This window comes from Homo sapiens, chromosome 2 (genome assembly GCF_000001405.40).
Source record: "Homo sapiens chromosome 2, GRCh38.p14 Primary Assembly".
NCBI lineage: Eukaryota > Metazoa > Chordata > Mammalia > Primates > Hominidae > Homo > Homo sapiens.
In genome coordinates, this window is record NC_000002.12 from 130,562,284 (window position 1) to 130,584,192 (window position 21,909).

At 52.2% G+C, this 21,909-nt stretch overlaps 1 pseudogene across 2 annotated transcripts, besides 5 other annotated features; it reads left to right on the forward strand.

The window, feature by feature from the left end:
• Positions 828–1,394: an enhancer, noted in NCBI's record as "H3K4me1 hESC enhancer chr2:131320684-131321250 (GRCh37/hg19 assembly coordinates)". NCBI's record gives its function as "activates a minimal SCP1, AML or CMV promoter by ChIP-STARR-seq in naive H9 embryonic stem cells {active_cell/tissue: H9 hESC(naive)}" and the evidence as "EXISTENCE:reporter gene assay evidence [ECO:0000049][PMID:30033119]".
• Positions 1,395–1,960: an enhancer, noted in NCBI's record as "H3K4me1 hESC enhancer chr2:131321251-131321816 (GRCh37/hg19 assembly coordinates)". NCBI's record gives its function as "activates a minimal SCP1, AML or CMV promoter by ChIP-STARR-seq in naive H9 embryonic stem cells {active_cell/tissue: H9 hESC(naive)}" and the evidence as "EXISTENCE:reporter gene assay evidence [ECO:0000049][PMID:30033119]".
• Positions 6,739–7,240: an enhancer, noted in NCBI's record as "H3K4me1 hESC enhancer chr2:131326595-131327096 (GRCh37/hg19 assembly coordinates)". NCBI's record gives its function as "activates a minimal SCP1, AML or CMV promoter by ChIP-STARR-seq in naive H9 embryonic stem cells {active_cell/tissue: H9 hESC(naive)}" and the evidence as "EXISTENCE:reporter gene assay evidence [ECO:0000049][PMID:30033119]".
• Positions 8,563–21,878, forward strand: PRSS40A (serine protease 40A (pseudogene); annotated as a pseudogene). Of its 2 annotated transcripts, NR_027313.1 has the most exons (3): positions 8,563–8,697; positions 14,390–14,565; positions 19,978–21,878. The product of NR_027313.1 is annotated as a serine protease 40A (pseudogene), transcript variant 1 (transcript). The 2 variants fall into 2 exon arrangements; NR_027314.1 differs by lacking the exon at positions 14,390–14,565 and having other exon boundaries at positions 8,566–8,697; positions 19,975–21,878.
• Positions 14,128–14,798: an enhancer, noted in NCBI's record as "H3K4me1 hESC enhancer chr2:131333984-131334654 (GRCh37/hg19 assembly coordinates)". NCBI's record gives its function as "activates a minimal SCP1, AML or CMV promoter by ChIP-STARR-seq in primed H9 embryonic stem cells {active_cell/tissue: H9 hESC(primed)}" and the evidence as "EXISTENCE:reporter gene assay evidence [ECO:0000049][PMID:30033119]".
• Positions 20,380–20,880: an enhancer, noted in NCBI's record as "H3K4me1 hESC enhancer chr2:131340236-131340736 (GRCh37/hg19 assembly coordinates)". NCBI's record gives its function as "activates a minimal SCP1, AML or CMV promoter by ChIP-STARR-seq in naive H9 embryonic stem cells {active_cell/tissue: H9 hESC(naive)}" and the evidence as "EXISTENCE:reporter gene assay evidence [ECO:0000049][PMID:30033119]".
• Positions 21,879–21,909: the final 31 nt, after the last annotated feature.

Consider the following 21,909-nt stretch of genomic DNA (forward strand, 5'->3'; position numbering starts at 1 on the left):
GCTTGCAGAGCAGCGGGGAAGGTGAGTGTGGTGGTTAGTGGTTAATATTAAGTGTCAACTTGATTGGATTGAAGGATGCAAAGTATTGTTTCTGGCTGTTTCTGGGTGTTGCCAGCAGAGATTAACATTTGAGTCAGTGGACTGGGAGAGGAAGACCCACCTGTAATGTGGGTGAGCACCATCCAGTAGGCTGCCAGTGTGGCTAGAAAAAGCAGGCAGAAGAAGGTGGAAGAAGCTGACTTGCTGGGTCTCCTGGCCTTCATCCTTCTTCCGTGCTGAATGCTTCACGCTCTTGCATATCAGGCTCCTAGTTCTTCAGCTTTTGGACTCTCGGACCTACACCAGTGGTTTGCCAGGGGTTCTCGGGCCTTCGGCCACAGACTTAAGGCTGCACTGTTGGCTTCCCTACTTTTGAGGTTTTTGGACTCAGACTAAGCCACTACTGGCTTCCGTGATCCTCAGCTTGCAGATGGCCTATCATGGGACTTCACCTTGTGATCACGTGAGTCAATTCTCCTTAATAAAGGAGTCAATTCTCAATAAATTCCCTTTTATATATATATATATATATATATATATAAATGTTTTATATATTTTATATATATATATAGGAGATATATATATATCTCCTATTAGTTCTCTGCCTCTGGAGAACACTGATGAATACAGTGAGAAAGGTGGTTGGCACACCCGGGGACCCACAGAGGAAGAGAGGGGGGAACTCGAAAGTCCCCACTGAGCGCTAAAGGGATTCCCAGAAAGAGTGAACTTTCCCTCCCGAGGGGAGGAGGAGAAACAGGATGCTCCTGCGGGTCTGGGGTGGTGTGGATGGCTTGGAGGGGATGCGGGAGCCACAGGTAAACTGAGGCTGCTGATGGAGGGAACAGTAGGTACCAGTCCAGGGTTTGGGGCTGTGATTTTAGGTCCCGGGCCTACAAGCTGATTAGGCCCTTATAAAACAGTTTAACACTGCCACCTCGTGGCAAGCTCAGAGCAACTTATTCCTGGAAAACAGACAGAGGAAAAACCATCTGGTGGTGAGAATGCAATGAGAAGAGGAAGGCGCTGTCTGGTCTGGCATGCAGGGCATGGCATGGGAGAGCACAGCCCCTTGGCACCTTGAGCCTGTGGAGAGAGGCCGTGAGGGCATTGGTCACCAGAGCCCTTCCGCTGAGGCCCAGTGCTGCCCTGAACCTGCCTGCAGGTCACTGTGCCACTGGGTGATGCTGGCACCTCGTCTGTGAGGGGGAGTGCAGGGGTGGCTGTGAGGCTTCAGGGCACTTGCCCCACTGGGTGCCCACAGCCTGCCTGGAGTCCCACCTCTGCTCACGCACTACAGGCTGTCACTGGGAACCTCCTACTCTGTAGGCCCACCCAGCTTGTGACTGTGGCAACCCTGTCCCGTATCCAGACTGAACAATATCTTTCTTCTGCGCTCACTTGGGAGCAGCTTGGGCCAGGCAAGAGGGGTCGTGCTTAGGACCAGCAGCAGGACACAGAGGGGCAGGTGGCCAGCAGGCCTGCCCACGCCCATGCTCCCCATGCCCATGCTCCCCACATGAGGTGGGTTTTCCTTGGCTTCAGGCTCCTCATCTGCAAACTGACAATGCGCATGATTGTGAGGTGACATGGTGTGGGAGGTGTGGTCCCTGGATGCCTGAGGAACAGCCCAGATGGTTAGCAGTGCATTCCAGCACCCCAGCTCTCCAAAGCCCCTTTCACCTCCCTGAAGACAGTGTTCCTGCAGCTTCCTGGGGCCAGGCCACCTTCGTCCTCACCCACCCGCCTAGTGTGTTTCGGCCCCGCCCAGTGTCACCCACCCTGTGTGACACCTCCGCACCCCACTCCGGGCGCCTCCTCTGTGGCCACCCTCAGACTTCTTGCGTTGCCCACCCCCTCTAGCTTCCCTATACAATTCTCAGTCTCATCCTCTACACCTCTGGCTATATTGGGGAGGGACACATTACTTTTTTCCAGTATTTTTTAAATTGTGGTAAAATATACATAACATAAATTTGTCATTTTAACCAGTCTTAAGTGTACAGTTCAGTGGCATGAGGTACATTCACACTGTTGTGCAGCCATTACCACCGTCCATCTCCAGGACCTTTTTATCTTCCCAAACTGACGCTCTGTCCCCATTCAACACGAACTCCCTGTTCCCCTCCCTCCAGCCCCCACCATTCTACTTCCTGTTTCTAGGACTCTGGCCTCTCGAGGCACCTCATGGGAGTGGAGCCCCACAGTGCCTGTGCTGGTGTGGCTGCCTTCTTTCACTTAATGTCTTTAAAGTTCAGCCGTTGTACTATGCATCAGAATTTCATTCCTTTTCAAGGGTGAATACTATCCCACTGAGTGTTTATACCACATTTTATTTATCCATTCATCTACAGATGGACGCTTGGGTTGATTCCACCTCTGGGCTTCGTGAATGATGCTTCTAGGCAGACAATTGTCGCTTTGAGACCCTGCTTTCAATTCTTCCGGGTGTATACCCCGAAGTGGAATTGCTGACCAAAGGGTAATTCTGTTTAATTTTTTGAGGAACTACCATAATTTTACGTTTAAATTTTAAGTGAAGTTTAAGTTTTATTTTTAAACTTGATGTTCAATTGTTTGAGGAACTGGCATTCACAGCATCTGCACCGTTTCAGATTCCCAACAGCAGTGCGCAGGGTTCCGGTTTCTCTACATCCTCAACAACGGTTTTTATTTTCTGTGTTTTTAATGGTAGTCATCCCAAGGGATGTGAAGTAGTATCTCATTGTTTTCATTTGCATTTCCCTAATGATTAGTGATGTTGAGCATCTTTTCATATGCTATTGGCTATTTGTATATCTTCTTTAGAGAAATGTCTATTCAAAGCCGGGTGCAGTGGCTCACGCCTGTAATCCCAGCACTTTAGGAGGCCGAGGCAGGTGGATCACCTGAGGTCAGGAGTTCAAGACAAGCCTGACCAACATGGTGAAACCCCGTCTCAACTAAAAATACAAAAAAAATTAACTGGGCGTGGTGGCAGGCGCCTGTAATCCTAGCTACTCAGGAGGCTGAGGCAGGAGAATAGCTTGGACCTGGGAGGCAGAGGTTGCAGTGAGCCAAGATCGCACCACTGCACCCCAGCCTGGGCAACAACAGTGAAACTCTGTCTCAAAAAGAAGAAGAAGAAGAAAAAAGAAATGTCTATTCAAGTCCTGTGCCCGTTTTTGAATTGGGTTCTTTGATTCTTGTTGTTCAGTTGTAGAAGTTTAAAAAGAAAATATTCTGTATATTAACCTTTTATCAGATGTATGATTTACAAAGAAAAGAAACAGTTCAGAGAGTATAAAAAGATCAAGTATTTTTTAAAGGGTAGATAAAAGTAGATAAGTTAGAAATACACCATTGTTCCATGTGTAAACTTGAGACTCTTTTGCCTGTGTTTATTCTGGTTCTTTTCACAGTACATTGAAATCATCAATTGGTCAGGTGCAGTGGTTCACTCCTGTAATCCCAGCACTTTAGGAGGCCGAGGTAGGTGGATCACATGAGGTCAGGAGTTCAAGACCAGCCTTGAACCCAGGACCCAGGAAGCAGAGGTTGCAGTGAGCCGAGATTGCACCATTGCACCCCAGTCTGGGCTACAAGAGTGAAACTATTAAAAAAAAAAAAAAAAAGGGCTGGGCACAGTGGCTCATGCGTGTAATCCCAGCAGTTTGGGAGGCTGAGGTGGGCGGATCACCTGAGGTCAGGAGATCTAGACCAGCTTGGCCGACATAGAGAAATCCCATCTCTACGAAAAATACAAAATATAGCTGGGCGTGGTGGCATGTGCCTACAATCCCAGCTACTTGGGAGGCTGAGGCAGGAGAATGGCTTGAGTCCGGGAGGTGGAGGATGCAGTGAGCAGAGACTGCGCCATTGCATTCCAGCCTGGGCGACAGAGCAAGATTCTGTCTCAAAAAAAATAAAAAATAAAAAAGTAAAAAAAGGAAATTATCAATTTACTTTTCTGCATCTCGTGTCTGCGTTAGCAGAATCTGTCTCATAGGAGACTGTGGTAGGGAGAATTCTAAGCTAACCCTCAACAACCCACATCCTATGTAATTCCTCCCCACAAGGGTGGGAGGGACTGTGAATATAATGGGCTATCAGTCTTGTGACTGTGTTAACCATATAGCACTTTAAGAAAGGGAGATTATTGATTAAGGAAGGGTGATGTCCTTGAAAGTTCAGACCAAATCATGGGAGTCCTTTGTATCTGGGTCTAGAGGTCACAAACAGGAGAAGTCAAAGATTCAAAGCCTAGGAAGGATTTGATGCAAGAGATCCTGAGGCTACCCCTGAAGGAGAAAGCTGCGGTATTGTGAGAGGGCCTGTGGGAAGCAGCCAAGTGGCCTACAGGAGTCGACAGTGGCTCCCAACAAGCAAATGAGTGCCTCAGTCATTCAACTGCAAGAAACGGAATTTTGCCAACAACCTAAATGGGCTGGAAGGCAAATTCTTCTGCAGAGCCTTCAGAGAACTTGTGGCCAGTCGACACCTTGAGCATGAGACCTTCAGCAGAGAACCAAGTTGGGCCATGCCAGACTCCTCACCCATGGGCATGGCATGGTCATATATTTGTGTTGTTTTAAGCCACGAGGTTTGTGGCAATTTGTTGCACGGCAACAGAACACTAATAGGAATTTTGGTTCCAGGAATGAGGTGCTGCTGTAAGAAACATTTAAAAATATGCCGGTAGTTTTGGAACTGGGCAGTGGATGGGGCCTGGAAATATTTTGAGGAACCTCATTTAAAAAACTTAAACTACCTTAGGGAAAGCCTCTATTTCCTCGGATAGACTGTGCATAGAAATCTAGAATTTAAGGCTTCCATGGTTGAGAGCTCACCAGGTGGGGGGTATGCCACTGGAAACGGGGTAGGTCCTGGTGGCGTCACAGCAGAAATTGTGTCCAGCTGCTGTGTAGGGAGCAAACTTTCAGGGGCCTGTTTGCACATATGTGTAATCACATATCACCAGACAGGTTCTTCCTGCCTGCTGCACAGACAAAATCAATCTACTGAGACTGTGCTGTTGCAGTAGAGAAAGACTTTCATTGACCAAGCCCAGCTCACACAGGAGAACTGGCATTCTCACTCAAATTGGTCTCCCTGAAGGCTCAGAAGCCAGGGGATTTTATGGACAATTGATGGACAGGGGGTTAGGGAATAAGTGCAGCTGATTGGTTGGGGATGAAATTATAGAGGTGTGGAAAATGGTTCCCGTGCACTGAGTCCACCTCTGGGTGGGGTCACAGGGCCATTTGAGTCATGAGTCACAAGTCTAGGTGGGGTCAGTCTGAAAAATCTAAAAAAAAAAAAACGATCTTAGGTTCTACAATAGTGACATTATCTACAGGAGCAATTGGAAGAGTCACAAATCTTGTGACCTCTGGCCATCTGACTCCTGAGCTGTAAGGGATTATAGAAACTATGCCTACCTTATCAGAATTTAGTCCCCTCCCATAATCCTATTCTTGTGGCCTTTCGTTAGTCTTACCAAAGGTGGTTTTCAGTCCCTGAGCAAGGAAGGGATTAGTTTTCGGGAGGAGCTATTATTATCCTTGCTTTCAAATTAAACTATAAACTAAATTCTTCTCAAAGTTAGCTTGGCTTAGCCCCAGGAATGACCAAGGACAGCTTGGAGGTCAGAAGCAAGATGGAGTCAACTATGTCAGATTTCTCTTACAGTTATAATTTTGCAAAGGCAGTTTCATGTGGCTTAGGAGATTTCTAAGCAACGCTTTGAGGTGCTACCTGGTTTCATCTTGCTACTTATAGCAAAATGTGAAGGAAGAGAGATAAACTGAGGCAAGAACTGCTAAACCAAAAGGAACCAGGACTGGAGGGTTTTGAAAATTCTTAGCCTCTCCAGATGTCAAAAGATGCTAAAAGTCAGAGATGGTCACTGAAACCACAGCACAGAGAAAAGGTCGACACTATAATGTTCTGCTAAGACCCCAGAAAGACCAAGAGGTCAGAAAAGTCAGTCGATCAAAGGGCCCTTTCAAGACATTGAGGTATAGTCACAACAGAGGGCCCCAAGCCCGCTGCCATCTCAGCAGGAGGCCCAGGTGGAGGAGGGACTATCTCAAAAATATTGTGCATGTGACTTTATCTAATGAAGTGAAACTGGTGAAACACACTTACAAGGACTATGAGGTTCTTGAGATGTTTATGTCAGCAGAACATTCCCAGCTCATACTGACAGGGACAGGGAAAGTACACCATGAAAGAAGGCCCCCAGAATTCCACTTGCGGGAAGCAAGGCAATAGAACTACTTGGATGCAAACGTGCTACTTTGTATAAAAAAGGAAGGATGACCAGAGCTGAGAGCCACAGAGAATTTTCTCCCAGGCCTTGAAACCTAATGGAGTTTGTCCAGAAGGATATAAAAGCTGTTACGGACCAGTAACTGCTTTTCACTGTCCATTCCCCCAACTTCCTTTTGAGCATTATGCTGTGCCCATCTTGTCATTGTATGTGCAGAATGTTGGGGTAGGAAGTTTCTTTAATTTCATAGGTCCACAGGTGAGGAAGAATTGTACTCAAGGGCTGTGTTTAGCAGATTACAGCTGGGAACCTCATCCATATTCTATTTGGAGTATTTAAATGATGAGATTGTGGATTTTGAGCTGATGAGATAATTCTATTTAGATTTAGATGATGAGATTTTGAATTTTAAGTTGAGACTCTAATGAGATTGCCAGAAGCGTTCGAACCAGAGCAATTCCATCTTGAATAGGGGCCGGTAAAATGAGGTTGAGACCTACTGGGCTGCATTCCCAGGAGGTTAAGCATTTTTTTTTTTTTTTTTTTTTTTTTTTTGAGATGGAGTCTCACCGCTCTGTTGCCCAGGCTGGAGTGCAGTGGCGCAGTCTTGGCTCACTGCAAGCTCCGCCTCCCGGGTTCACATCATTCTCCTGCCTCAGTCTCCTAAGTAGCTGGGACTACAGGCACCCACCACCACCCCCAGCTAATTTTTTTGTATTTTTTAGTAGAGACGGGGTTTCACCGTGTTAGCTAGGATGGTCTCAATCTACTGACTTTGTGATCTGCCTGCCTCCGCCTCCCAAAGTGCTGGGATTACAGGCGTGAGCCACCGCGCCTGGCCTTTTTTTTTTTTTTTTAGACAAAGTCTAGCTCTGTCACCCAGGCTGGAGTGCAGTGGTGTGATCTCGGCTCACCGCAGCCTCCGCCTCCCAGGTCCAAGCTATTCTCCTGCCTCAGCCTCCCCAGTAGCTGGGACTTACAGGCACCCGCCACCATGCCTGGCTAATTTTTGTATTTTAAGTAGAGACGGGGTTTCACCATGTTGGCCAGGCTGGTCTCGAGCTCCTGACCTCAGGTGATCCGCCCGCCTCGGCCTCCCAAAGTGCTGGGATTGCAGGTGTGAGTCACCGTGGCCAGCCCCCAGGAGGTTAGGTATTCTAAGTCACAGGATGAGATAGGAGGTAGGCAAAAGATACAAGTCATAAAAATCTTGTTGATAAAATAGGTTGGGGTAAAGAAGCCGGCCAAAACCCACCAAAACCAAGATGGCAACGAGAGTGACTTCTGGTGGTCCTCAATGCTCATTATATACTAGTTATAATACATTAGCATGCTAAGAGACACTCCCACCAGTGCCATGACAGTTCACGGCAAGGTCAGGAAGTTACCTTACATGGTCTAAAAGGGGGAGGAACTCTCAGTTCTGTTAATTGTCCATCCCTTTCCCTGAAAACCCATGAATAATCCACCCCTTGTTTAGCATATAATCAAGAAATAACCATAAAAATGGGCAACCAGCAGCCCTCAGGACTGCTCTGCCTATGGGGTAGCCATTCTTTTATTCTTTTACTTTCTTAATAAACTTGCTTTCACTTTATGGACCCGCCCGAACTCTTTCTTCTGCAAGATCCAAGAATCCTGTCTTGATGTCTGAATCGGCCCCTTTCCAGTAACAGGATGAGGCTCTTGGTAACCTTGAGGTATGCTGAATGCATTTTGGGGATTGGGAGGGACATGCGTCACTGGAGGCCGGAGGTTGGGCTGTGTTAGGTAGAATTCTAAGATGACTCGCTGCCACTCAGCTGTTGTCTATGACCCTCCTGTTGAGTGTGGAGGGACCTGTGACTGAGATGGCACAGCCCTCTCGTGACTGTTGTATGCTGGAGTTTAAGAAAAGGATATTGTATTGTCCCTAGTGGGCCTGACCTAATCCCTTGAGCCGGCGTCCTTATGGAGGAGTGGGTTGAACTCGGAAAGCAAGCTGGAAATGCTTGATGACGTGATGTAAGCACTTGCCCTCTCATCATTACTGTATATTTCTGGGCTTGGGCCATAGTTGCCTTCATGTCTCCCCTGCACAGTGGACTTCCTGGAGGGAGGGGCCCTGTGATGCTCTGGGGGTTTCCAGCGACCCCTGCCTCCTACCGACCTGGGCTCCCCGCACCCGCCGCGCGAGATCCAGTCCCAGCATCCTGATGGACGCAGGCGTTTTCCTGGAGCCCCGCGGTTGGCCACGCCCCGCGCTCTCCGCCCCGTCGGGGACGCCCAGGCCACCGGCCTGATGAGGGAAGCAGGGGCAGAGCGCTCAGGCCAGGGCCGGCGGGGGCACTGCGCACTGGCCGCCTCCCTCCTCTGGCCAATCCTCCTGCCGCTGCGCGTCTAGTCCACCTCGTCCCTCTCTGCAGGTGAGCGGGCAGGGGTGGCCCAGACAGAGCGAGGAGCAGAGGTCGCCTGCCTCTCGTGGCCGTCCCCCTCCGCCCGATGAGGACACCCGCCAGGAGGGCCCAGCCAGGCCAGGTCTGGCTCTCCGGGCCCTGGGAGGAAGGCGCCTTTGGAAGGAGGGGAGAGGGCGGGGCGCTCCCCCGCTGGCTCTGCCGGGTTGGATCTCAGGCCTCTACAGTCCAGCGCCCCACACACCCTCATTTCCAGGATGGGGAAATGCTACTGCAGACGGGATTGTGCGCGGACTGTCTCTCGTTCGCTTCAGTCTGGGAGAACACTGGGCCGGGAAGGGAGGGCACTGCCGCTTAGGGGCCGCGCAGTGGAGCAGTACATCCCTTCTGTAGCAGGCAGCTTCTGCGCCATCACAAACGGCATTGAGGCCTGGGAAAAGTCGGGCCCAGTGCTCACCCCGTAGCCCCACGGGCCGTCGCCCCTGACAGGGGGCCATGGGCTGTGTGCTCCCGGGTCATCCAGGTGGTGCTGTCACATGGGCCACGTGGCTTCAACCTGAGCCTTGGACTTGTCCCTCCTGTGAAGTGAGAGGAGGGGCCTGGTGGCCCCGAGTCCTGTTGATCCTGATATTTGGGGGCACCCGGGGCTGGCTGGCGTCCTTCGTGCAGGCACCTCATTGCTGGGCTGTCTCCACAGTGTGTGAGAAGGCCAGATTCAGCGGCAATTCCTCCGGGAGGCCCACCGGGAAGATCTTTGGAGGCCAGAGGGCTGAGCCTTAGCGGTGGCCATGGCAGGCCAGTCTCCTCTACCTAGGCGGGCACATCTGTGGAGCTGCCCTCATCGACAGCAACTGGGTGGCCTCTGCTGCTCACTGCTTCCAAAGATGCATCTTCCCTCCACGGGCCCCGCTGTGGGAGTGCATGCAAGAGGGAAGCCCAAAGTGAGGGCGCAGTCTTTTCTTTGTACGCTTTGTTCTGGGACAGTTTGCTGCCCCAGGTGTCCTGCCTTTGACCCAGCAGTGCCCTGTGCCTGGAATGCTGTCCCTGCTCGTCACTCTGCTCCAGTCTCCTGACCAACTGTGTGGCATCTCCCAAGCAGAGGCTCCTACCTCATCTCTCACTCTGGGGTTGGGCATTCCCCAACCCCACCCCACCCCACACCACATTGGTCAGCCTGCTAAGATGGTGTGGTTGCCTCATTACATTGCACATTACTTTGAAATAGCTAAATGGAGCCGGGTGTGATGGCTCACACCTGTAATCCTAGTACTTGGGAGGCTAAGGTGGGAGGATTGTATGAGTCCAGGAATTCCAGACCAGCCTGGGCAACATAGTGACACCTCATCTCTACAAAAAGTACAAAAATTAGCCGGGCCTGGTGGTGTGCGCCTGTAGTCCCAGCTACTTGGGAGGATCACTTGAGCCTGGGAGGTCAAGGCTGCAAGTGACTGTGATCACACCATTGCACTCCACCCTGGGTGACAGAATGAGACCTGTCTGAAAATAAGTAAATAATTAAAAGTAAAAATAAATAGTTAAGGCCTGTCACGGTGGCTCACACCTGTAATCCCAGCACTTTAGGAGGCCAAGGCAGGTGGATTGCTTGAGCCCAAGAGTTCAAGACCAGCCTGGGCAACATGGCAAAACCCATCTCTACTAAAAATAAAAAAATTAGCCAAGTACGATGGGGCAGGCCTGTGGTCCCTGCTACTGAGGAGGCTGAGGCAGGAGGATCACCTGAGCCCAGGGAGGTCGAGGCTGCAGTGAAATGTGGTTGTGCCACTGCACTCCAGCCTGGGCCACAAAGCCAGATCTTGTCTCAAAAATAAAATAAAATAAATAGCTAAATGAAAATTAACTCACTCTAGTTGGGACTGTCAATAAATACAGGAAAACAGACTTTCGTTCTAAAGGGAACCACTTCCAGCCCATTCTCCGTCTGCTGTAAACTTTAGGAATCAAAATCCTAATGTTCCCCTCAGGGTGAACTTTGGTTTCTGCATCTTGCCCAGCTCTAGGCCATCCACACAATCTCAGTGGGCCTCGGTTTTTCTTGTGTAAATGGTAGTGGGTGTGCAGTGTCCCAGGCCACACACTTGACACACACTTCAGGTGATAAGACAGAGTGACAGTCCCAGGGCTTCTCAGGGCCAGGCAGGCATGGTCGAGCACCTGGCCCCTTCCAACCAGGGCTCATTGCAGGCTGTCCGGGGAACACCTGCCGGAGGCTCCCCTAGGTCCTGGCTACCCACATATGCTGGCACATTCTTCCCCAGAAGGGTCCTGCGACTCTGTATGTCCAGCCACCAGGGGGTTTTTGTCACTTCTGGAGAATTATTTGCCACCGTCCCCACAGACCAGAGTGAGGGATGAAACAGATGGCCTCTGTCCCAGGAGGTGTGAGGCAGAGGGTCAAGAGACTGAGTTACTCCTCCGATGCTTCCTGGGCTCGCTGTGTGCCCAAAGGGAGTCAGGGAGGATGTCCAATTCTGAGCCAGGAAGCCAGAGCTTTGGACATAGCTGGCTGTAGCATCCTCCTCAGGTCCCACTCATTTATTCAGCATCCACAGGTGCCAGGCCTCAAGTGAGGCCCATTGTGTGGTACATAGAGATGCAAGCCCCACTCTGAGGCTTCTCATCCTGTCAGGAAAGTGAGGCGCAAGCCCAGGACCATGGTAGACCCTGTGCCAGACAGGGGCTTAGAGCAGGAGAGGCCTTGGGGGAGGTGGATGCAGCCATGTTGGGGGAGGAGAACCACACAGCCAGGACCTGTGGGTTGGAAAGTCACTCGTTTTCTGGAAACAAGAAGTTCAGTTCCATTAACTCCTCCATGTGCTTCACAAATACCTACTGAGTTCCTGTCACCAGGTGGGGCAGCCTTGGAGAAGGTGGTGTGTGAGAACCGGGGAGAAGTGGGTGGAGCATGCTGGCTAGGGAAACAGGGTCTTTGAGAATTGCTGTAGGTCATGGGGCCTTGGGAAGGTTCTGGTCAGAGCTAGGAATGAGCCAAGTCTCTTCTTTTCTGAAATGAAGGGGTGAAGTGTAATGCATCGCCAGTGTTTTCTGCACTAAGATTCTCTACTCCTTTGAGTCTGGGGCATGCTGGGAAAGCCATCAGGAATCATCCAAGGCCAAGTGTCCTGAGGCTGTAGGCCCTCAAGCTTGTGTCAAGAGCAAAGCAGGGCTATCTGACACGAGGAAGGGAGGAGACAGAAACCCCAGAGTGATGGTGGGGTCTGGGTGCCTTCCAGGTGGGCAGCCGGGGTGAGGGTGCCGGCCCAGCATTCAGAGGAGCCTCCCCACAACAGGTCCACTAACCCATCTGATTACCGGATCCTGCTTGGGTATGACCAGCAAAGCCATCCCACAGAGCACAGCAAGCAGATGACAGTGAATAAGATCATGGTGCACGCTGACTATAACGAGTTGCACCGCATGGGGAGTGACATCACCCTGCTGCAGCTGCACCGTCATGTGGAATTCAGCTCCCACATCCTCCCCGCCTGCCTTCCGGAACCAACCACGTGGCTGGCCCCTGACAGCTCCTGCTGGATATCTGGTTGGGGAATGGTCACCGAGGATGGTGAGCAGTGCAGGGCAGGCAATGCAGGTGAAGGTGCGGGAGGCCGCTTCGGGGCTCTGCCAGTCCTCCCTAGTGTCACAATTCCCCCTGGCATGGGTCAAGCGGCCTGAGCTTCTCCCACTTTTGGAGGCAGGTACTTGGGCTCTTTGACTCTGAGCCATTCAGGATTCCCTGGTTCTGAATGTTTCTGACTCCACCCTGATTACAAGGGCCTGCTGCCATCTGACCTCCTCCAGGGCCTCACCAAACTCTACTGGAGCTTCCACAGCTGTGGAAGGTGCTGGGCATCAGTAGCAAGTAAGAGCAGGCCTGCGGGTGCGGTGGCTCACGCCTGTAATCCCAGCACTTTGGGAGCCTGAGGTGGGTGGATCACGAGGTCAGAAGATCGAGACCATCCTGGCCAACATGGTGAAACCACATCTCTACTAATAAAAGAAAAAAAATATATGTATATATATTTTATACACACACACACACACACACACACACACACACACACACAGAAATTAACTGGGCATGGTGGCACTTGCCTGTAATCCCAGCTACTCAGGAGGCTGAGACAGGAGAATCGCTTGAACCTGGGAGGCGGAGGTTGCAGTGAGCCGAGATCGCACCACTGCACTCCAGCCTGGCAACAGAGTGAGACTCTGTCTCAAGAAAAAAAAGAGCAGGCCTGTCCTCCAGTCCAAGTGTTTATGGCTCAAGAACACTTATCTCTGTGAATGTGAACCTCACTGCTCACCCAGTATATTTGTCATATATTTGTATATTTGTAGACTGAGAGGGAAGAAATGTTAGGCAAAGACTCTAGCAAAAGAGTGAATGCTTTTGATTTAGGGAAATGTAATGATGAGTGCAAAAAAGTAGAATGGCAATTTGGCATTATTTGTGGGGTCATGATCTGGCAGAATATCTCAGAGGAGGCATTTGGGACAGGACTTTCTTCCATGAACAGGCCAGAGCTGGCCTCCCTGCCTTGGCCACTGAATGCCAGTCACGTGGCCCTAGTCATGAGAGCAGCCAGCCCTCCAAAGACAGCCTCCTGGGACTGTCATTCTCAAACTATTTTTTTTTTTTTTTTTGAGACGGAGTCTTGCTCTTGTTGTCCAGGCTGGAGTGGGATGGCATGATATCGGCTCACCACAACCCCCACCTCCCGGGTTCAAGCGATTCTTCTGCCTCATCCTCCTGAGTAGCTAGGATGACAGGCATGCACCACCACACCTGGCTAATTTTGTATTTTTAGTAGAGACGGGTTGCTCCATGTTGGTCAGGCTGGTTTCGAATTCCCGACCGCAGGTGATCTGCCCTCCTCGGCCTCCAAGGGACTGTCATTCTCTAAGAATCAAGGCAGAGAAGATTCTCCAGGTGGGAAAGGAGGAGCTAGGGCCTGGGGAAGTCACCAGTTAGTTGGATCAGCTACTGAGCAGAGAGCCACCGACCTTGATGAGAGATCTGGGCTCTAGTCATCCTTCTCTCTCCACACACCGGCAGCCCCCAAGGACACATGAGGCCCACACAGGGCAGGCATTGTGCAGGGGTCGGCCCCTGTCATCGCGCTGCTCCCACATGGGGACCCCAGGCCAGATCTGGGAGCGACATCTGGAAACAGAGCCCAAGTGTCCCCAGACCAGTTGCTCCTTGAGGAAGGGCCATGCCTGATTTGTCACACTGCTACACTGCTCAAACCCACCCAGCACCTGCTAGGTATGCCACCGGCCAGGCTGGCAATCCAGCTGCCACCCTCCCTGCCTCCAGCTCTGCCTCCTCTTAGCAGCCAGAGGGCTTGTTTTTGACCCTTCTATTGTGTCCCAGTGTGCTTGGAACGACACCTCCAACACCACATCCTGGCTAGGAGGGCCCCTGCTCTGGGCCCTGAGGCGGCTGCACCTCACCTTTCACCCCACGCCTGCTCCCTTGCAGCCACATTGGCCTCCCTCCTGGTTCTTCCTACTGCAGGCCCTCCCCCTTTGGCTGTCCCCTTATCTTCGTGTGCTCTCCCTGGGCCAGCAGGCTGGGGAGGGAGGGCTTCCCTCTGGCTGCAGCTGCAGTTGAGGCCCACATCTGACACCTCCTCCCACATCTGACATCTCCTCCCACATCTGACATCTCCTCCCACAGTCTTCCTGCCTGAGCCCTTCCAACTTCAGGAGGCAGAGGTCGGTGTCATGGACAACACTGTCTGCGGATCCTTTTTCCAGCCCCAGTACCCCGGCCAGCCAAGCAGCAGTGACTACACCATCCACGAGGACATGCTGTGCGCTGGGGACCTCATAACAGGAAAGGCCATTTGCCGAGTGAGTGGGCTCACTCTCTCTCCCCTGTGCTGCCCTGGGCCTCTGCCACAGGGTCTCCTCTGGACCCTGCCCCAGCCCCGACTTCTTCCTGAGCCCAGCCAAGCCTGAGGTGTCGGAGCCAGGACAGAAACTCCCAACAAGCACTGGCCCATCTGTTTTTTTTGTATCTTTTAAGAAACGTTGTTGGTAGGGTACAGTGGCTCACGTCTGTAATCCCAGCGCTTTGGGAGGTCGAGGCGGGTGGATCACCTGAGGTCAGGAGTTTGAGACCAGCCTGACCAACATGGTGAAACCCCATCTCTACTAAAAATACAAAAATCAGCCGGGCATGGTGGCACGTGCCTATAATCCCAGCTACTTGGGAGGCTGAGGCAGGAGAATCGCTTGAACCCGGGAGGCGGCAGTTGCAGTGAGCTGAGATCATGCCACCGCACTCCAGCCTGGGTGACAGAGTGAGACTCCGTCTCAAAAAAAAAAAAAAAAAAAGAAAAAAAGAAAGAAAGGAAAAAGAAACCTTATTGAAGCACACCATGCACAGGAAAGGGCAAAAGTACAAGTGTCCTGTGGAGGAATTTTCAGAGACTGACCACTCATGTACCCGGCACCCGTGGGTTTCATCCTTGCCCATTCCTGACGCTAACTCCCCCAGGATAACTCTGCCTGCTTTCTAAAGCACCATAGCTTCATGTGGGGACTTTTAGCTGAGTGAAGCCATATGGTATGCAAGCTTTTGCCTGGTCCCATCAGTCAATGTTGTGTCTGTGGGATGCATCCATCTGGCGTGCAGTCTGTATTGTTCATTTTTATTGCCGTATGCTATTCCACTGTGCAAAGACACTGCAATTTACTCATCCATTCTAGTGTGGGTGGCATTTGGGTGGTTCCCATCTGAGGCTGTTGCAAATGGAATTGCTGTGAACTTCCTGGTGTATGCATTTCAGAGCACATAGGTTCCCATTCTGGTTGGCGGTCCCCCTGGCAATGGAATTGCCTTGCCATGAGACATGCACATGTTCATCTCTCGTTGATCATCTGAGAAACTCTGCAACCTGGTTGTACCAATTTGCATTTCCACCAGCTGGTGAGTGATAGTTCAGGTTGCACCCTGTTGTTGCCAGTCCTTCAAATTGTCTGCCATTTTCATATGAACTCTTGTGTATGGTTTTTAATGTGCATTTCTCTGGTGACTGGTGAAGATAAGCCCTTTGTTATATGTTTATTGCCTCTTTTGTAAAGTGTCCGTGCAAGTTTTTTGCCAACTATGGGATTGTCTGCCTTTCATTCTGAATCATAGGAGTTCTTTATCTATTGTGGCTATGAGCCCATTATTGGATATGTTCATATATTATGAATGTCTTATCCCACTATGTGTAATCTTTTCATTTTATAGTGCGGGGAACTGAGGCCCAGAGAGGAAGTGTATCACCCAAGGTGAGGGGTCACAGCCACAGTCAAGCTTGGAGAGGCCCTGCCCTTCTTGGGAGCTGTGGGTCCCAGGAGGACTCCTGCAGGATCCTCTCCCTCTTTTTTTTTTTTTTTTTTTTTTGATACAGGGCCTTACTTTATCGCCCATGCTAGAGTGCTGTAGTGCAATCTCGGCTCACTGCAACCTCTGCCTCCTGGGTTCAAGTGATTCTCCTGCCTCAGCTTCCTGAGTAACTGGGATGCACTACCACGCCCAGCTAATTTTTATATTTTTAGTAGAGATGGGGTTTCATCATGTTAGCTGGGCTGGTCTCAAACTCCTGACCTCAAGTGATCTGCCTGCCTCAGCATCCCAAAAGTGCTGGGATTACAGGTGTGAGACACCGTGCCCGGCCTCCTCTCCCTCTGTTGCGCCTCCCTCTTTTTCTTTCTCTCTCTTTGGTCACCTCATGGTGCAGAAACATTCTTCGATGACTCTCATCACAAAATGCCCTACAGGCACCCTCCCTGCTCCCCACAACCTCCTCCCACCCCACCCATCCCAGCAGGGCTCACCCCAGGGTGCCTGCCTGTGCCCTCTCTTGCTTCCTGGGCTCCGTCCTCACCACAGCCATGCTGTCAGGCGTTGGTGCAGCATCCCCCATCAGACACTGTGGGCGGCCCCTCCTGCTCTCTGCTCTCCTCCTTGGAGGGGCCCTTCAGCCTCCTGACACCAACAGCCCACTGTGCACCACTGGGCCTGCTTCCCCTGCCTTGCCCCATTTCCTTAGACAGAGAGAAAGGGTCAGATATGGCAAGTCCCGTCTGTTGACCATTTCCCGCCAGCCTCTGCCATCCCTTCTCCTGCAGTTGTGTCCTGATGGGGCTCAGGCCAGTACCATCCTATCAGACAGAATCTGCACCAGGTCCCATGGGTTCCCTGCCCTCTGAGGAGGCTGTGGGCTGGCACAGTCAGGTCTTGCCCCTCCTTCCTGTGTTGGCTCAGAGAAGCTCTAGAATTAGAGCAGCCCTTCTGGGGTCCTTCCAGGCCGCCCCGATCCACACCCCACGTCTGCGATGTCTGTTCATGTGGAAGGTCCCTCGGGGCCTCTTCAGTGCTGTGTGCACACAGAAAGACTTGGTCATGTTGATTGCACAGATGGCAGGAGGATGCTTGTTTCCTTGGGTTTCCCTTTTTGGCCTATGGGATGCGGGTGCTCTGCCCATGATGTCAGGGACTTCCCCGCTTGGGGGCCCTGCCACACTCACAATCCCCCGCGCTCACCTGGGAACCCCTGGCACTTGCCCTACCCCCACGCTGGGCACGGGCAGCACCTCTTTTCCCCTCAGCACATCCCACAGCCTGGCATTTTCTAAAAAGCTCAACCAAGAAATGGAGGGAACACTAGAGACCTTAATAAGTGAAGGACATCTGGATTTGGGACTAGATTTAATCCCAGCACCTTGGAGGCCAAGGCGGGAAGATCACTTGATACCATCAGTTCAAGATCTGCTGGTAACATGGCAAGATCTCCATCTCCATTTTAATTTTTTAAAAAAAGTTTAAAAAAGAACAAAAATGGCCGGGCGCGGTGGCTCATGCCTGTAATCCCAGCACTTTGGGAGGCCGAGGCGGGTGGATCACGAGGTCAGGAGATCGAAACCATCCTGGCTAACATGGTGAAACCCCGTCTCTACTAAAAAGACAAAAAATTAGCTGGTGTGGTGGCGGGTGCCTGTAGTCCCAGCTACTCGGGAGACTGAGGCAGGAGAATGGGGTGAACCCAGGAAGCGGAGCTTGCAGTGAGCTGAGATCGCGTCACTGCACTCCAGCCTGGGCACAGAGCGAGTCTCTGTCTCAAAAAAAAAAAAAAAAAAAAATACTGGTGGGATGCAGTGCTTGGAGGAAGATTCAGGCCAAGGCACAGCCATTCCTCCAGGCTGGCACCCAGCCACCCTGGGGACCACAGGCAGTGCCTTCTCCCCACTGGGGTCAGGAGGGCTAGGCCTGGATGTCCATCTCCTAGAATCCCCTGCTTATTCTCATGGGTTTGTGACTGCCAGGATGGAGGCTCTGCCCAGGGTCTCCTTGGGAGCTTTGTGGAGTGAAGCTCCAGGGCCCCGTGCTCGAGATTTTGATCCAGGAGGTCCCTCCTGGGTCTGGGCTTCTAACATCGCCCAGGTGACTGATGAGCGCCACTCACTCAGACAGTGGAGACACCTGCCCCACACCTTGCTTCCCACATTCCATCCTGGAGAAGCGTAAGGTCCCCTCCTGTGCCCTGAACAATGCGTGTCCCTCCCTGTCTTGGTCCCTACCACCCATGTCCTCTCTGTTCTCAGCGAGACTCCAGGGGTCCCCTCGTCTGCCCATTAAATGGCACCTGGTTCCTGATGGGGCTGTCTAGTTGGAGCCTCGACTGCTGCTCACCCGTCGGTCCCAGGGTCTTCACCAGGCTCCCCTACTTCACCAACTGGATCAGCCAGAAGAAGAGGGAGAGCACCCCTCCAGATCCCGCCTTGGCTCCTCCTCAGGAAACACCCCCAGCCCTGGACAGCATGACCTCTCAGGGCATCGTCCACAAGCCCGGGCTCTGCGCAGCCCTTCTGGCTGCTCACATGTTCCTCCTGCTGCTGATTCTCCTGGGGAGCCTGTGAAGGGCCAGGGCCCCTGGCCTCTTACCACAAGCATGCCCACCTCAGGCCGGCCTCCTTGCTGAGCTCTGCACACTCCTGACGTGTTTCCATCTCTGAGCTCTCCTGTCCACCCAAGGCCACCCCTGCCTCAGGCCTGACAAACTAAAAACCACCCAAGAAGCTTCTGGCTCTGGTTTCTGGCCCACCAGAGCCATCTCCCATGCTCCACTGTGTCTCCAGCTCCTCAGGGAGGGAAGGTCTCCCTCCTCCCTGGGCAGGGTCCAGGCTGACCATATGGGAGCCAAGTCACTCTCCTTGGGAAGTTGGGTCGCGCAGACTCAGGCCCCATTCGGGTCCTCCAGGGCATGCAGTCTTCCAGAAAAATGGGGCCAGGGCCTCCCCACATGGAAGAAGCTGCCTGTCCTCCTGGAGCTGGGTGTTGTGCACCGGTCAGGGATGAAGCGGCATCTTCCAGGTGCGCAGGTCACAGAGGCTCTCCTCGACAGCTTGCAAGTAAACTGTGAAGGGGGCTGAGGTCTTCGGTCAGCAGTACCAGAGCTGTGTCCCATGGGTCAGCTCTCAGCTGACTGCCCCCTGTACCCGCTGCCCTGCCCTCTCCCTGCCTCCAGAAACCCAGCCCCCATCCCTGTGGCTTGCTCCAGCTTGTAGGGGTTGTGGCTTAGCTGACCCAGGACTTGCTGGTCCAGCACTGAGCCCATAAACCAGACTCTGAGTTGCCCCTGTAAACCTGTCTGAGTCAGGTTTGTATCCTAGCGAGTCAGCAGGACTCTCGAAGGGCCTCGCACCGCAGCTCTCCCGCAACCCCCAACCTGAACTCACAATAAAAAGAGGGCAGCCCCCCTTCACTGAAGGTACATTGTGCCCCAAGTGCCATCCAGGTGTTCTGTGCAAATTATTTCTAGTCCTGTTGTCACCCAGATAGCCCAGGCCCTCACCAGCAGGTGGGAACAAGTGAAGTCTCATGGGAATGATCGGCAGAATCTCTTGGTCTTGAAGCCCTCTGACACTAATGCAGAGGTTTCCTTTCCAACTCAGAGCCTTCCTTCCCTCCTTCCTGGTGAGGTGCCACTGAGCCAGACACCTATGCCCAGCACGGTATCTGGCTTTACAAGCTCAGCAGTGTCTGGAAGCGAGAAGAAAGCATTTCCTCTCCTGATGGCAAACTCAGTTATGGGGCTGCAGAGTGGGACTGCTGGGCCCTGAGGTGGGAATTAGCACTTGATCAGTTCAGATTTAGAGCATTAGCCACCGCTGTTGCCAGAACTGCCACTTTCCCTCTGCCCATGGTGGCCCCATGCTGGCTGGGCTGGAGTTCCCTCACGTGGTGACTTGTGCTTTGTCCATCAGCAGGCATGTTCCTACGTGAAGCATGGAGTTACGCAATGGCCTGCCTGTCCATGAAGTTCCTCTGGCCTCCTCCGATTCTGTGGCTGCAAATCCACACCTAGGAGCTCCGCAGGCCTGCTGGAGCACAGCGCCTGTAGGTTTCTGCGCCTGGAACCCACCTCAGGACCACAAGCCGCATTCAGTCTCTTTTTATAGATCTGGAACCCGAAGCCCAGCGTGGTTAGGAACTTGTCTAAGGTCACTTGGTAGTAAATACTGGAACAGGGATTCAAACCCACATCTCCAGAGAGAGCTCAGAAGCCTTGTGCTTTCCATGAGTGCAGCTGTTTCCAGAGGCCTCCGGCCCTGTCTCACCTTCCCAGACTGCCTTGAGAGGCTCTAGCTGGCCTGTCTCTAGTGTGGCCAGATTCTATCTGGTCAGTGGCAAGGGAGGACCCCAGGCCACAATACTGACATCAGGGAACAGAACAGATCTGCAGGGCCAGTGAGTGGTGCTACGGAAAGGCTGGGAGTGGCCCCTGCGTGGTTTTCCCTAGACCCATCGTCAGGGGCTCCAGGCCTCCATGTGTTGTGCTGCACGGGCTACTGGCTCCCTCTCCAAAATCGACCCTGGGTGAGCTGTGGAGGCGAGAAGGCAGTGTGCATTTCAGAAACTAACCAAAATCAGTGAGAAAATCTTGGAGAAACTGAAGTTACCCTGGGCGGCTGTAGCTGGGAATGGAGGATGGGGCAGCCAGGAGCCAGACTTAAGAAGGCTGTTCACACTCTGCTCTTGTTGCTTGCCTCCCACACCTCGTGACAAATGCTGCCTGGTCCCGCTCAGGTGTCAGGATTGCAAGGTGGCTGTGTCAGCCAGTGTGAGGGCCCCACAAGCCACCGGTGTTGTGTGCCCTCCATCCTCCTCCTGAAACCCCCCTGGGTGGGACAGTTGCTATCCAGGGAAATGGGCCTCTTCCACTGTGATCTCCTCCAGGGCTTTCACCGGCAGGCCCGCCTGCAGGAGTGGCTTGTGGGGTGGCAGGATGCAGGAGAGAGTGAGTGAGGTGCTTCGTGCCTGGGGCCCTCTGCTCTGGGGCCACCCTCCTCGTTGACTCACTGGGAGCCTTGCTAGTGCAGACAGGGTGACCAGGAGCTGCTAAGCCCAGGGAATGCACACACGTGCACTGGAGCAGCTGCCTATCTTAAGAGTCCAATGCCCACCGAAACACAGTAGGCTGCACAGCATCCACTACTGGAAGTAGAGTTGCTGGAAAAGACAGACCAAACATACTTAATAAGCACAATAAATATCTTTTTGGATACAGAAAAATATTATTAGTAATAAGACCTAAGACAAAGAAACTACCGAAAAGAACCAAGTCAAAATATTACATATGCAAAATGTAATCGTTGAATTAAAGACCACATTACATTGAGCAAACAGGGTCAATGCAGATGAAAGAGGAAGCCAGTCGTTACTTTAAAGGTATGGCTGTCACAGTGTGGACTTTGGAGCCGGTCCACTTTAGTTGGGGTAATTTGTAGAGCATTTATTTACAAAAGTACTAATCACCCAGGTATGTTTGGGCTGAAGGCTCCGGGAAAGCCCAGGGCAGGGGCCTGGCACAGGCATCAGAAGCAGAGCTCTTGCCACCCAAGGCCCTGAGGGACCAGTGAAGTAGGAGCCGTGGGGAGAGGGTGCCTGAGAGGAGCAGGGACACTCAGCCGAGGGACACAGCCAGCCAAGGCGGCCTCACAAAGAGGATTTTCATGGAAACAAATGCCCTGACTACTTCATTCCCACATCTTCGGCTGAGGCTCCCATGGCAAGTGGAGAGAGCAGCTGCAGGTGGCCTCGGTCACTTGGGTCAGCTCTCCTGCTTAAAACAAACACAGAAATCAATAAAAGTGTTGATTGTATTATTTAAAAAAAAATCTTCGGCCAGTCGTGGTGGC